Source organism: Homo sapiens, chromosome 16 (assembly GCF_000001405.40).
Source record: "Homo sapiens chromosome 16, GRCh38.p14 Primary Assembly".
Classification (NCBI taxonomy): Eukaryota; Metazoa; Chordata; class Mammalia; order Primates; family Hominidae; genus Homo; species Homo sapiens.
In genome coordinates, this window is record NC_000016.10 from 19,686,541 (window position 1) to 19,701,711 (window position 15,171).

Sequence of the window (15,171 nt, forward strand, 5' to 3'; positions counted from 1 at the left end):
CGTCACCTGCCAGGCCCTCAAAGCATTCGGGTTTGCAACTTGGGGTGGGACAGATGCAGAGATTGTGGGCTATTTTTAGTGGCCATTTGCAGGGGACATCATTTCTCCCCCTCGTGAGAGCCACGTCTGGACTTGAAGGCCCCCAATACACTCTGACCTGACCAAATTACTTTTAATTCTCAAATGCGCCCTTTTCTCCTTCCCTCTATGACCACCAAGTGTCAGCATGGAAAATAAATTCCTCCCTTCTCACCCCTTTTCCCACTTCTGCTAGCGAATTCCACCTTTAGGACTCAGTCCAGGTCTCACTGATTCCAGAATCCTGTCCCAAGCATAGATTTTAGTATCCCATGATCCCCTGTACTGCCCCCCCTTCCTTGAGACTGGGAGGCGGAGGTTGCAGTGAGCCAAGATCGTGCCACTGAACTCCAGCCTGGGCGACAGAGCAAGACTCCATCTCAAATACCTCTGCACACTATTGCAATTGCCTGTTTGTGTGTCTGTGTCTCCTCACAGACTGTGACCTCTGTGTCTGTGAGGGTAGGGCCAGGTCAGCCTTGTCCCCCACTAGGTTCCCGCTCCTAGCCTAGAAGCTGGCATGAAGCAGGCCTTATTCAGTAGGTGTTGCATGTGTGTGTGAGTGGCCTGCTCTAAACACACCTCTGGCCCCTTGGGGTGGTTGGACCTTCCCTCTTCTCCATTGCTGGGCTGTTCAGAATCAAAGTGAACTCCAACCTGGAGGAAGACTGGGAATTTATGCAGGAACTATTCTGGTCCTCAGCAGCAGACATGAGAAATTCCTTCACCAGCTGCAGTTTTGCTGCCCTGCACAATCAGGTGGTGTTGAATGGCTGAATTGAATTCTTCTCGCTTCTTACAAGAGTAACTGCCGTCCCCCACTGGGGAGGTACAAGTCATGACACAGCAGCCAGAGCCGGCTTGGAAATTCTGAGATTGACTCCTGCGGCCCAGGGCCAGTAACTACCAACCTGGTGTCAGACGAGCAATCAATCGCAAAGGAAACCTTGGGGAAGTATCCCAGCAGAGTCCCCATAAACGAGCAGTTTAAGATTGGATAAGAGATTCCTGTGATCAGAGAAGCTGGGGAACAAAGGAAACCAGTTGTTCTCCTTATTCTTAGGCAATATGCCTGCAACCTGCTTTCAAATGGTTCAGCCAAAAAAAAAAAATTATGTGTGTCTGTCCATCCTTGTAGAGACAACAAGCAAGAGAGCTTGCACAAAAGTAGCAAAATATTATCAATTGGTGATTCAAGAAGTAGGTGTTCATGGCCGGGCGCGGTGGCTCATGCCTGTAATTCCAGCACTTTGGGAGGCCAAGGCGGGAGGATCACTTGAGGTCAGGAGTTTGAGACCAGCCTGGCCAACATGGAGAAACCTCATCTCTACAAAAATACAAAATGTAGCCCTGCCTGCAGTGCAGTGGCGTGATCTCTGCTTGCTGCAACATCTGCCTCCTGGGCTCAAGTCATCCTCCCACCTCAGCCTCCCGAGTAGCTGGGATTACAGGCACACATCACCACATAGAGCTAATTTTTGTATTTTTATTAGAGACAGGGTTTCACCATGTTGCCTAGGCTGGTCTCAAACTCCTGAGCTCAAGTGACCTACCTGCCTTGGCCTCCCAAAGTGCTGGGATTACAGGCGTGAGCCACTGTGCCTGGCCATCTCGTGCTGTTTGTCCCTCGTTTGTGCACAGGCCCTACTGTGTTTCTCATAAATATTGTCTCTTTTGAATTGTGTGTATCTGAGACAGTATCCTTCCTACTTGTTTCCTCAAGACAGTGATGAATGTTCTTTCAATGGGGCGAGAAAAGCACAACAAATCACATTCTAGCAGATAAGCTAAACTGGATGTGGTTTATTAAAGACATCCCTAAGCCACAAAACTGGATTAGCCGTGTGCACTTGTGGCCGCGTGTACACAACCACACCCCGAGGCACAGGCATGGCTCTTGGTTTATGAGATATCCACGCACTCAGGACAGTGACCCAGATTGCAGGCCCGTGCCAGGTGAGAAGCAGCGAGTGCCGCCGCCGCACCGTCCCCCTTCCTGACCACTGAGTGCTGTGTTGGCTCCAGAGCTCTCCCTTTAGCCTGGGGGTTCAGATGCTGAACTGGGCTCCCCAGACAGAGTGCTGCTTGTTCACAGCCGGTTATGCTCGGCCACATACAAGTCCCCATCTGGTAGCTGGAATGAAAGCAGCTGTAAGAGGATCCCATGGAAAAGGTATGTGAGCTCATGTGGGTGTGGAAGGAAAGAACTGGCTCTGTAGGCAGAGCTGGTGGTTTTGTTGTGAACTCTAGGGTTTGCAGCAGGCTGGCCCTAGCCAAAAAAGGAAGGAAGAAAACCACTGAAGTGTTCCCAGTAGGGACCAACTAAATACATTCTCTTCCATCGTACAGTGGGATACTACGCAGACATGACAACAAAGCAACAGAGCTGTACGCGTAGCGCCCCCTTACCCGGTGTCTCTTCTTTTTTTTTTTTTTTTTGAGATGGAGTCCCACTCTGTCGCCAGGCTGGAGTGCAGGAGCGTGCCAGTAGCTGGGACTACAGGCGCGTGCCACCACGCCCAGCTAATTTTTGTATTTTTAGTAGAGACGGGGTTTCACCATGTTGACCAGGATGGTCTTGATCTCTTGACCTCATGATCCACCCGCCTCAGCCTCCCAAAGTGCTGGGATTACAGGTGTGAGCCACTGTGCCTGGCGTTTTTTTTTTTTGAGACAGAGTCTCGCTCAGTCACCCAGGCTGGAGTGCAGTGGCTCCATCTCGGCTCACTGCAACTTCTGCCTCCTGCGTTCAAGCGATTCTCCTGCCTTAGCCTCCCAAGTAGCCGGGACTACAAGCGTGCACCACCATGCCCAGCTGATTTTTTGTATTTTTGGTAGAAACTGGGTTTCATCATGTTGGCCAGGCTGGTCTCAAACTCCTGACCTCAAGTGATCCACCCACCTCAGCCTCTCACAATGCTCAGATTCTAGGTGTTAGCCACAGTGCCCAGCCCCAGTTTCATTTTCTGCAGTTTCAGTTACCCCACAGTCAACCTGGTCCAAAAATATTAAGTGGAAAATCTCAGAAATAATTCATAAGTTTTAATTTGCACACTGTACTGAATAGGGTGATAAAATTTCACTTCGTCCCACCCAGGATATCCATCATCCCTTTGTCCAGTTTATCCACACTGATGCGACACTACCTACCCATTACTATATAGGAAAAAGCATAATATATATAGGATTCAATACTGTCTGTGGTTTCAGGCACCCACTGAGGGTCTTGGAACGTATCCCCCAAGGATAAGGGGGCATTATTGTATGCTGATATAAAAATAGCACGAAGATTTATTTTATTTTGTTTATTTTGAGACAGGATCTTGCTGTGTTGCTCATACTAGAGTGCAGTCATGTGATCATAGCTCATTGCAGCCACCTACTCCTGGGCTCAAGCAGTCCTCCCACCTTAGCCTCCCAAGTATCTGGGACTACAGGCGTGAGCTACCAAACACAGCTAATTTTATTTGGAGAGATGGGGTTTTGCTATGTTGCTCAGGCTGGTCTCAAACTCCTGGACTCAAGTGATCCTCCTGCCTCAGCCTCCCAGAGTGCTGGGATTATAGGTGTGAGCCACTGATCCCAGCCCCAAGATTTATCATTAAGTTAAAAAAACAAAGTGTAAAGCAGCACAGAGTGTGGTGTCTCTTTCGTTGCCCAGATTATGCTCTGTGTGAAGTTCAGTTGAGAGGAAGGAGTGGGGAGGGAAGGAGGGAGGGAGGAGGAAGGGAGGAGGAACTCAGACTCAGGCTGTCCTTGGCTGGGCCTGTCTTACTCTAGGCAGTGGTTGTCACAGGACGAGACCCAGCAAACAGTGGAGGAGCTTTTGGCAAGAGACATTATCAAAGGGATTTACACTTCTAGAGTAGTTGAAATAGAAAATCTCTGCAGTCCTTCCAAAGCCAGGTTTGAGGAGAGGGTGACAGGGCAGGCAGCTGGATGCGGTAGCTAAGAGCGTGAGCTCTGGAATCAGACTTCCTGGTTTAGGATCCCAGCTAGGACCACCTCTGAGCCTCATCTCCCTAAAAGGGAGATATTAATATCATCTCTTGGCTGGGCTGGTGGCTCACACCTGTAATCCCAGCACTTTGGGAGGCCGAGGCAGGCGGATCACTTGAGGTCAGGAGTTCGAGACCAGCTTGGCCAGCATGGTGAAACCCCATCTCTATTAAAAATAAAAGAATAAATTAAAAAAATAGCCAGGCGTGCTGGCAGGTGCCTATAATTCCAGCTACTCAAGAGGCTGAGGCAGGAGGACTGCTTGAGCCTTGAGGCGGAGGTTGCAGTCAGCCAAGATCGTGCCACTGCACTCCAGCCTGGGTGACAGAGAGAGACTCCGTCTCAAAAAAAAAAAAAGAAAAGAAAAGAAAAATCATGTCTTCACATACTGGTTGTGGGGGACTCTGCAATAAGGCAGTGAAAGCCCTAGCCCAGTGCCTGGCAGCTGCTGTGATGATGATTATTATTATTAATGTCACCCCCGCTCCCCGCCACGCACACATGGGCTAGAGGGGTGACTTCCACACCCCTGGCTTAGACTGTCCTGCAGGCTGGGTGTTTTCTTTGTGATTCCCAAGGCCCCAAGCCCAGTGGGAAATTTCCGCCACTTCCATGTGCCCTGCCACGACTTCCTGCCATCTGCTGACTCGGTGTGACATGACACACGGCTGCCTCTCCCTGGCCAGCATGGCCGCGGGGCTTGGGTCTGTCTCACTGTTCTTGTTTGTTCAACAGTGGACTCCAACGACAGCCTCTACGGGGGAGACTCCAAGTTCCTGGCAGAAAACAACAAGCTGTGTGAGACGGTGATGGCTCAGATCCTAGAGCATCTGAAAACCCTGGCCAAGGACGAGGTGGGTGCCCTCTGCTGTCCTCCACCCGCCCCTTGCTCTGAAAGCACAAGTTTCCAGGGTGGTTCAACCTTGGTTCATTCTAGAAAGGAAACTATGTCATGTGAGTAATGTGTTTATGTGCAAACCACTTCTCCATTGCTTTGGGGCCTTCGCTCCTGCTGTTTTCTCTGCCTGGACTGCGCCTCCCCCAGGGCTTCCCCTGGCTGTTCCTTCTCGTCATTGAAATCTCAGCTCAAAGGACCTCCTCAGGCCTTCCCGGACCCTGTCTGAAGGAGCCACCACCACCTGCATGCCTCTGCCCGATTGTCCCTGTAGCGCCTGTTCAGTCACCGTCTGAAATGTTCTGTCTGTCCATCCCTCAGCTCCCTGACTAGAATGTAAGCTCCATGGGAGCAGGGACCTGGTGAGTCTTTTTTTTTTTTTGAGACAGTCTCACACTATTGCCTGGGCTGGAGTGCAGTGGCATAATCTCGGCTCACTGCAACCTCCGCCTCCCGGGTTCAGGCGATTCTCCTGCCTCAGCCTCCCAAGTAGCTGGGATTACAGGTGCCCGCCACCACACCTGGCTTATTTTTTGTATTTTTTTAGTAGAGATGGGGTTTCACTATGTTGGCCAGGCTGGTCTTGAACTCCTGACCCTGTGATCCGCCTACCTCGGCCTCCCAAAGTGCTGGGATTATAGGCGTGAGCCACTGCACCCGGCCTGGACCTGGTGAGTCTTGAAGACCTGCCTGTGTCTGAATGACAAGACAGGGACTCTGGGACACCCGGTAACTCTCTGCACCACCCCACGTCTCATGCAGAGCCCGGCCTGCGGCAGATGCTCCATCAGTTCATGGTGAATCCCTGATAGCGTGGGATTGCTATACCTGGGCTCTTTCAGTGCCCACAACAGCCCTGTGAGATGTAGATGCTGTGTTTATTTCCATTGAATGGGGAGGGAAACTGAGGCTCAGAGAGGGTTATTCAGAGCCGTTGATATTTCCTCTGGCTGTGATGAAACAGCAGAGATTCTAACCCGGATTCCCAAACCTGAACTCTGCACTGCTACATTGCCCTCCTCAACCAAGGCCTTTCCACTTCACTTTTCTTTTTATTTTATTTTTTTTGAGACGGAGTTTCGCTCTTGTTGCCCAGGCTGGAGTGCAATGGCATGATCTTAGCTCACTGCAACCTCCACCTCCCAGGTTCAAGTGATTCTCCTGCCTCAGCCTCCCAAGTAGCTGGGATTCAGGTGCCCGCCACCACACCCGGCTAATTTTTGTGTTTTTAGTAGAGATGGGGTTTCACCATATTAGCCAGGCTGGTCTCGAATTCCTGAGCTCAAGTGATCCTCTTGCCTCAGCCTCCCAAAGTGCTGGGATTACAGGCATGAGCTATTGCGCCCGGCCAATATATACCCATTCTGTCCAGGGTGTTCAAGCGTGTGTTTGAGAGAGTAGGATTTTTTCTGGCCTCCAAGTTCAGGGGCACTGCCCGAAGGGCTGGCCTTAGGGTTAGTAGTTGAAAGGGCAGAGACCTACATACCCAACAGTTGCAGAAATGCTGCAGCCCTGGGGGCCCGTAGCACCTTCTGTAGGGAGGGAGGGTATGTGACTGTGTCCTACTGACCCTGGGGACCCCGAGCTGCAGTACCAGAACTCTGAGCAAGTTAGTGCCTGGAGGGCTCTTGGTTGTTTGTGGAAAGAGTGGCATTGGAACCCCAGTTTCTTCTTCAGGAAAACTGGTTTATCAAACCCGTGAGTATCAGACGAGGCAACTCTCCTAGAATGATTGATACCAGAGGCTGGGAAGGGTATGTGGATGTGTGTGTTGCGGGGGGGCAGGGGAGGGCAATGAAGAGAGGTTGGTTAATGGGTACAAAGATAGATACAGTTAGAAGGAACAGGCCAGGCACAATGCCTCAGACCTGTAATCCCAACATTTTGGGAGGCCCAGGTGGGAGGATTAGTTGAGCCTAGGAGTTTGAGACCAGCTTGGGTAACATAGTAAGATCCTGTCTCTATTAAAAAAAAAATTAAAAATTAGGCCAGGTACGGTGACTCACGCCTGTAATCCCAGCACTTTGGGAGGCTGAGGTGGGCGGATCACTTGAGGCCAGGAGTTCGAGACCAGCCTGGCCAACATGGCAAAATCCCACCTCTACAAAAAATACAGAAAAAATTAGTTGGGTGTGGTGGTGTGTGCCTGTAGTCCCAGCTACTTGGGAGGCTGAGGCAGAAGAATCGCTTAAACCCGGGAGGCGGAGGTTGCCGTGAGCCCAGATCATGTCACTGCACTCCAGCCTGGGCGACAGAGTGAGACTCCATCTCAGAAAAAAATTTTAAATTACCCGGGCGTGGTGGTGAGTGCCTGTAGTCCCAGCTACTGGAGAGGCTGAGGCGGGAATTGAAGGCTGCGGCGGGAACTCGAGGCTGCAGTGAGCTGTGATCATGCCACTGCACTCCAGCCTAGGCAACAGAGCAAGACCCTGTCTCCAAAAAAAAAGAAAAAAAAAAAAAAAAAGAAAAAAGGGGGAATAAAAGGGAATAAGTTCTAATGTTCAATAGCAGAGCAGAGTAACTACAATTAACAACAGTGTATTATACATTTCAAAATAGCTATAAGAGAAGACTTGAAATGTTCTGTACACATAGAAATGATAAATGCTTAGGCGACAGACACCCCAAATACCCTGGCACAATCATTGTAATTCTAGGCATGTAACAAAATACCACATGTACCTCATAAATACACACAAATATTATGTATCAATAATTTTTAAATGTTGCATATCTGAGGCTCATGAATCAAGATGAGAAAATAAAACCCTAAATACACATTGTTTTAAAAGACCTTTTACAAACATGCACAAACACTCAGCAAGGGTTCATACCTCTTCCGTTTTCTGTGTAGATGGTTTTCAGGAGAGAGCCCTTTCAGCCTACAGGAATAATGGAAGCCCATCACCTTTAGCTTGTACTAATTAGATCCCCCCAAGGAAAGCTTGTCTTAGCTTTTTCCCCTGATTTCTTTTCTTTTTTTTTTTTTCTTCCAGAGACAGGGTCTTACTCTGTCATCCAGGCTGGAGTACAGTGGCACTACCTTAGCTCACTGCAGCTTCAACCTCCTGGGCTCTAGTGATCCTCCCATGTCAGCCTCCCAAGTAGCTGGGACTACAGGCATGTACCACCACACCCAGCTAAGTTCTTATTTCTTACACAGCCGAGGTCTCTCTGGGTTGCCCAGGCTAGTCCTAAAATACTGAGCTTGGCCGGGCACGGTTGGCTCATGCCTGTACTCCCAGCACTTTGGGAGGCTGAGACAGGCAGATCACTTGAGGTCAGAAGTTTGAGACCAGCCTGGCCAACATGGTGAAACCCCACCTCTACTAAAAATACAAAAATTAGCCGGGCGTGGTGGCACATGCCTGTAATCCCAGCTACTTGGGAGGCTGAGGCAGGAGAACTGCTTGAACCCAGGAGGGGGAGGTTGCAGTGAGCTGAGATCACGCCACTGCACTCCAGCCTGGGTGACAGAACGAGACTCTGTTTCAGAAAAAAAAAAAAAAAAGACAGAGCTCAAGTGATCCGCCCACCTTGGCCTTGGGCTCCCAAAGTGCTGCGGATTCTGGGCGTAAGCCGCCATGCCCAGCCTTCCCCTGATTTCTTGAAACCATTGGTTCTGGCTCCGCCCTCTAGTCCAGGGACCTCTTAGAACAATGATGTGTGTTTGACAAGCCACACCCACAGAACACTTGACATGTGGTTCAAAATTACGTGTCTTCATACCGAGGCAATAGGCTGGGTTTAATCAGAGGTGGTCACTGACAGCATAAATGATCATAGCCCAGAAGTCCCAAGCTTGCAAGAAAAATAAAGCCCAGAACCATATAATTTGGAGCTATTTATATTTAACATTTATGTCTCTTTCTCTGGTGGAGAGAGGGGTTGATGGTGATAGTGATTCTGAAAGAATAGCAAAGATGGAATGTTTCTGAAGAACATTTCACGTGGCATCAATACCAGCGATGTTCACTGAAAATGTCTGTCCATATGTGCACATTTATTAGAAAAACATCGGTCAGGCATGGTGGCTCATGCCTGTAATCCCAACACTTTGGGAGGCTGGGGAAGGAGGATTGCTTTATTCCAGGAGTTTGAGACCAGCCTGGGGAACATAGTAAAACCCCATCTCTAAAAAAATTTTAAAAGTTAGCCAGGCATGGTGGTGTGCACCCTGAGTAGCTGGGACTACTCAGGAGGCTGAGGTGGGAGGATCGCTTGAGCCCAGGAGTTTGAGGCTGCAGTGAGCTGTGATTGCACCACTACACTCCAACCCTGGCAGCAGAGCAAGACCCTGTCTCTAAAATAAATAAATAAATAAAAACATGGTCATATGGGTGGACCAAGCTGAAACTGAACATGTTATCCTTCTTTTATTTTATTTTTTTTTTGAGACAGTCTTGCTCTGTTGCCCAGACTGGAGTGTAGTGGCACAATTTCAGCTGACTGCAACCTCCACCTCCCAGATTCAAGTGATTCTCCTGCCTCAGGCTTCCGAGTAGCTGGGACTACAGGCGCGTGCCACCACACCTAGCTAATTTTTTGTATTTCTAGTAGAGACGGGGTTTCACTGTTAGCCAGGATGGTCTCGATCTCCTGACCTCATGATGCGCCCGCCTCAGCTTCCCAAAGTACTGGGATTACAGGCATAAGCCACCGTGCCCGGCTATCCTTTGTTTTAATGGTGCAATTTGAAGTTCAGCTCAACAGCCATACTGGAGTCCTCTGAAGTCTGGTACCCCAAGAGCATGAGGCTTGGTATCCAGGCCCATCACAGACCAGGAAGGGCCTGGTGGATTTCTCCCCACTGAGTGGGGTGGGCGGCTTCTTGCTGTTGGAAAACCCTGATGCCTGTGCCGTTCTGAGAATCATATCGCAGCTCTGGTAGCAACCGTGCTTCCAAAGTCATCCTCTAAGGCCACGTGAAGGTGCCAGCCTCATTTTAATCACAAGCTGTATTTTATGAAGTTGTTTGTTTGGGTGTGGTGGAGCTGGGAACCATGCCAAACCCCGAGAGCTTCCTGGAAATGACAGTTCTCATAGGAAAAGCAGCTCTTTTCTATTTAAAACCTCTGTGGCGAGGGGAGGGGATCAGGCCCTGATTTGGTTCCCAAGCTACGTGTTTGTATTTTTCTCGGTGTTTGAATATATCAGCTGGCATGTGTCTCATCCCTCAGACACGTCTCCAATGATTTCACTTTTAATGGGCTTTGGCATTTAAAACACATGCGAATTGAGCTTTTTGCTAATTGAGAAGATATGGAATGGAGAAATAGCCAATTAGGTATTGTGCTGCTTGTCTGACTTTTAAAACAGTTTCTCCCACTTCAGTGAAAGGTAGTCAAAGGGCCTCTCTCCAAGGAGACTTTTAGTTAGCTCTGAAAGAGTTTTATTTTAGCTTGGTCTTGTAGATTCAGGCAGAAAGTGGGGCTCCCGTTCTCCCAGGTGTCAGACGAGGACCAGGTTAAAAGGAGAGCAGGATGGGCTCAGGTTCCCACTTGGGGCATAACTGCATTGTCTGTTAGAACAAATGAAGGCAGAGCAGGTGGTCGCCAGCCAGTTTGCGAGTCCGTGCCCAGCAGGTGCCAGCCCGCGTGCCCTGTGCCAAAGCGCTTTTCTCTTGTAGCCCGCGGGCCTGGGCGCCCACAGCACAACCTGCTCCCTGATGATTGGGCTCTTTGCCGTCGGCTCTGCTGCTTCTGTGACTGTCGCTGCTCTAGGCTGTTGCCAAGGCAGGCTCAATTTTGCCCGGAGTGGGGAGGGGAGGTGCCGAAGAGTCTTAATTACCACTCAGCCACCTTGCCCAACTGCATTTGAAGCTGTTCCTTGACTTTTTCTTTAAGACAGGGTCTTGCTCTGATGCCCAGGCTTGAGTGCGGTGAGATCATAGCTCACTGCAGCCTCAAACTCTTGCCCTCAAGTGATCCTCCAGCCTCAGCCTCCTGAGTAGCTGGGACAATAGGTGTGTGCTACCATGCTCAGCTAATTTTTTTTTTCTTTTCACTAAAAGACTTTAAATTCTCACTTGGGAAAGGACAGTAAGAAGGGGTAAATCAGTTGGCATAGCAGCTCGCAGGCGCCATGTGAATTATCTGTGGAACGTTGGATGGATAGACGGTTGATAAGTTGGTTTTAGCCACCGAGAGTAGTTGAGAAAAGCAGGAAGAAATGTGTTTTGGTGTAAGCCCAATCAAGCCATTCTTAATCCCTGCATACAACTGCATAGCCAAAGTTGGCTCATGGCACTGGCAAGTCAGCCCTTTCTGAGTGCGATTCCTGATAAGATGCGACCCTGAGTGTGTGGCCTGGAGAGGGCTGTGAGTACGAGCACAGGCTCTGGAGTCAGAGAGCTGGAGCTCGGACTCCCCTCTGCATTGTGAGGACCCATCTGTGGTCCTTGGGCAAGTTCCTAACCTTTCAGAGCCTCAGGTGCCTCATCTGCAGAATGGGAGCATATTCATTTCCTGTTGCCACCATAACCCGTTGCCACAAACTTGGCATCTTAAAGCAGTACCCATTTTTGATCTCACTGTTTGGTAGGTGAGAAGTCAGTGCTAGCTGGGGCCGGCGTCTCTGTTCTGGGTTTCACAAGGCCAGAATCAAGGTCTTGCTGGCTGGGCTCTTATCAGGAGGCACTGGAAAGAATCTACTTCCTTGTTCCTTCAGGGTATTTGCAGATTGCATTTCCGTGTGATCATGGACTGAGATCCTGTGTCTGTTGGCCAGGTGTCCTTCTCAGCTTCTAGAAGCTGTCTGTGTTTCTCAGCTCATGGCCACCACTGGTGGCCCAGGTTCTCCTCATGCCTTGAATCTCTGGCTTCCCTTCTTCCTCCTCTTTCCTGTTTTTCTCTTCCACTGCTTGTCTCTGATTCTGGTCGGAGAAATGCTTCTGCTTTTAAGGGCTCCAGTGATTCGAGGGCCCACTCAGGTCATCTAAGATATGCTCCCTACCTTAATTCCATCTGCAGTCTCTCCACAGCAGCACCGGGATTCATGTTTGAATAACGGGAAGGAATGCTGGGGGACACCTCTAGAATTCTATCATGGGCGGTTAGGAGTGTACCTGCCACGGAGCTGTCATGAAGGTTAAATCACGCGAGTTGTATAAAGCACAGAGCAGAATCCCTGGCACACTCTTAAGGGCTCTTACACGCATTCACTGTCAGGGAGCAGACATGAGACTCTTGGCAGCACTGATGTTGTGCAGATGTGGGATCTGCCGTGGCCCCATGGGCTTCCTGAACAGCAGGTACCCACCTGTTGATGTGGCTTTTCCAGGGGCCTTCGTTTACCTTGGGGAAGTTGTATCCTCTCTCCTGGGCCTGGTGTTGCATTCTGGAGATTTATTTTCCCTTTTGTCTTTATCACTCAAAGCTGGAGTTCAGGTTCGGTCTGCCGTGACACTGTGGTTAGACTTTTTTTGGCAAGATACCTCTCACATCAGATGATTGAGCAAGAAAGGAAAGATCTGATGTCAGCGTGTAAAGGCTGGATATGGGCACCAAGGATTGGGGAGCTCAGTTCGGGAGATGTGTTTTGGTCTTTATTACCGGCAGCCCAGGGGCAGGAATACTGACTGCAGCTTTGGGTAGTTTGAGGACACATCTGAAAGAGGTGAGCTGAAGCCTTTCAGTTTTCAGCTGTACTTGCATTAAAGCAAGGCTTGTCCCTGCTGGGGTACCCTTCATTCCTCGACCTCACTGACTGGTGAGTTTCTTCCATTTCATGAGTAATGACCATCTGTGGGCACAGAGCTTCGTCATCTTACTGAATCCCCGCCCTTTGCAGGGGTGACCTTACTGTCACTTACAGATGAAGCAGCTGGGACTTTGGGAGGTTCAGCAGCTTGCCCTACAGCAAATACATGGCAGAGCTGGCACTGGAACTCAGGCATGACCTACCCCAGAGTCAGCACTGTCCACAGCATCTCTGCGGGGCACGGCCTGAGCCCCAGTGCAAGGCAGTAACCTCCCTTTTCTGTTTCAGGCCCTGAAGCGCCAGAGCTCGTTGGGCCTTTCCTTCTTTAACAGCATCTTGGCCCATGGGGACCTACGCAACAACAAGCTCAACCAGCTCTCCGTCAACCTGTGGCACCTGGCACAGAGGCACGGCTGTGCAGACACCAGGACCATGGTGAGGCGCTCGGAGGGCCCCGTGGTATAAGCCCACTGGCCAGTGCACAACCACCCTCAACACAGCATTGTGGCCTGGACATCAGACAGACAACCCCATACTCCCCTTTTAGAAAAGCACTTGGTCCATTTCTACTGGATCACTTCCTAGCAGTAAAAAGCAGAGCTGGCCAGGTGTGGCAGCTCATGCCTATAATCCCAGCACTTTGGGAGGCTGAGACAGGAGGATCGCTTGAGGCTAAGGGTTTGACACCAGCCTGGGCAACATAGTGAGACCAGGTCTCTACAAAAAATAAAAAATTAGCCGGCCATGGTGGTGCACATGTGTAGTCCCAGCTACTCGGGAGGCTGAAGAGGGAGGATGGCTTGAGCCCAGGAGTTCGAGGCTGCAGTGAGCTATGATCACACCGCTGCACTCCAGCCTGGGTGATAGAGCAGGACCTTGTCTCCAAAACAAAGAACAAAAGCATAGCCTTAAAAGTCTATTCCCTCTGAATAGGAACCATACATACAAAACATCAGTCATTTCTGGTCACGTCCAAATCTGATTTTTAGGGCAAGCTGCAATCCAAGAAGTTGAAGACTTTGATTTCTTCCCTCCTCTCATCCCTCAAAAAACTCACTCTTCTCTGCTAAGAAATCTAAGCTCACATAATGGCTGATTCATTAGAGCCTTGGGCTCCAAGGATAATGAACCAGAAAGGAGATGGATCTTTCTTTTTCCTCATAGGTGAAAACGCTAGAATACATCAAGAAGCAAAGCAAACAACCAGACATGACTCATCTGACGGAGCTGGCCCTCAGACTCCCTCTGCAAACAAGGACCTGACCCCCGGGCCCATCCCCAGGCTCAGGGACTCTGGTGCCAAATCCAGAAAGATCTGCTCTGCTGCCCTGAACTCTTACGGCAATTTAGGTTTCTCATTTTTCTTTTCTTTTTACATATGTACAAATTGTTTTAAGCTTTGGCCTCTATCCAGGTTATTCTGACAATGAAGAAATGGGAGTTGTCAGAGCATTAAAATGCAATCTTCACTAAGAAGCAGTCTCTGTGTTGTCTTTGCACAAGTGGCCTTCGGTCTACTCAGCCCGATCTGATGGGCCTTTTTAGCAAGAGAGAAACAAGAATGCAAGTAACATCTTTCTTCTCTGGAAGGTGTTTGTTTTTTCATAGTTTAGAAATAAGGACTTTAAAAGTGGACTGCTTTTCAAAGTGCCACTGTTCCAGACCCATTCCATTCCAGACTTTGTACCTTAAAGTTAGAGCACACCCAAAGTCTGGAACTGTGTTACCTGAACCCCTATGGAGGATTTATAAAAGGCAGAAATAGCACTCCATTAACTCTTTTTCCTATCAAAAGCAGCTCTTGATTGGACTTAGAATCTGTGTTGGTGGATCAAAGGAGAAAGCGAGGTCAAATTTGAGATTCTCTGTGGCTTCAGTATACAGTAACTGAATAAATGTCCTGAAGGAGCATTTATGTTCATGACTGTTCATTTAATTACTTCTGACTGTCTTCCTCCAGAAGAGAAAGACCGTGTCTAAATATATTATCCTGGTTTGTTTTGCAGCCACAATTCTAAACAGCATGTGATTCTGTCTGCTTTTCTTCCAACAGTTTGGTGGAACCTGATTCTTCTATTACGGCTGGTGAGCTTGCACCGACATTTCATTTTGAATCAGTAAAAACATTCATACTGATGGGTGATTCATCATCTCAGCCACTGCCATTATGAAAATGCATCCACACTGTGGATTAAAAATGCCCCAAACTATTGTGCTTCTACAAGATCCACACTGGAACTGGACATAGATTACATTTCATCTTTACTCTGAGAAATACAAGACTACAGTTGAACACTCAGTTAACCTCAGACAGTAAAAGGGGCTAAAAAATTTTTTTAAATCAATTTATTGGCCGGGCACGGTGATTCACGCCTGTAATCCCAGCACTTTGGGAGGCTGAGGCAGGCAGATCACCTGAGGTCAGGAATTCGAGACCAGCCTGGCCAACATGGTGAAACCCCGTCTCTACTAACAATACAAAAATTAGCCAGGCGTGG

General features: G+C 49.1%; 1 protein-coding gene across 7 annotated transcripts in view, besides 3 other annotated features; it reads left to right on the forward strand.

The window, feature by feature from the left end:
• The window catches only part of VPS35L (VPS35 endosomal protein sorting factor like), a 145,461-nt gene extending 130,838 nt beyond the window's left edge, over window positions 1-14,623 (forward strand). For all 7 annotated transcript variants that reach the window (NR_158161.2, NR_158160.2, NM_001365295.2 and 4 more), the window contains 3 exons: window positions 4,813-4,931; window positions 12,962-13,108; window positions 13,838-14,623. Coding sequence is in view for 5 of the 7 variants with exons in the window: in NM_001365295.2 (NP_001352224.1) it covers window positions 4,813-4,931; window positions 12,962-13,108; window positions 13,838-13,936 (365 nt within the window). In the remaining 2 variants the exon portion in view is untranslated. The remainder of the gene's footprint in view (window positions 1-4,812; window positions 4,932-12,961; window positions 13,109-13,837) is intronic.
• Window positions 270-770: an enhancer, noted in NCBI's record as "H3K27ac hESC enhancer chr16:19698132-19698632 (GRCh37/hg19 assembly coordinates)". NCBI's record gives its function as "activates a minimal SCP1, AML or CMV promoter by ChIP-STARR-seq in naive H9 embryonic stem cells {active_cell/tissue: H9 hESC(naive)}" and the evidence as "EXISTENCE:reporter gene assay evidence [ECO:0000049][PMID:30033119]".
• Window positions 12,241-12,896: an enhancer, noted in NCBI's record as "H3K27ac-H3K4me1 hESC enhancer chr16:19710103-19710758 (GRCh37/hg19 assembly coordinates)". NCBI's record gives its function as "activates a minimal SCP1, AML or CMV promoter by ChIP-STARR-seq in primed H9 embryonic stem cells {active_cell/tissue: H9 hESC(primed)}" and the evidence as "EXISTENCE:reporter gene assay evidence [ECO:0000049][PMID:30033119]".
• Window positions 12,897-13,551: an enhancer, noted in NCBI's record as "H3K27ac-H3K4me1 hESC enhancer chr16:19710759-19711413 (GRCh37/hg19 assembly coordinates)". NCBI's record gives its function as "activates a minimal SCP1, AML or CMV promoter by ChIP-STARR-seq in primed H9 embryonic stem cells {active_cell/tissue: H9 hESC(primed)}" and the evidence as "EXISTENCE:reporter gene assay evidence [ECO:0000049][PMID:30033119]".
• Window positions 14,624-15,171: the final 548 nt, after the last annotated feature.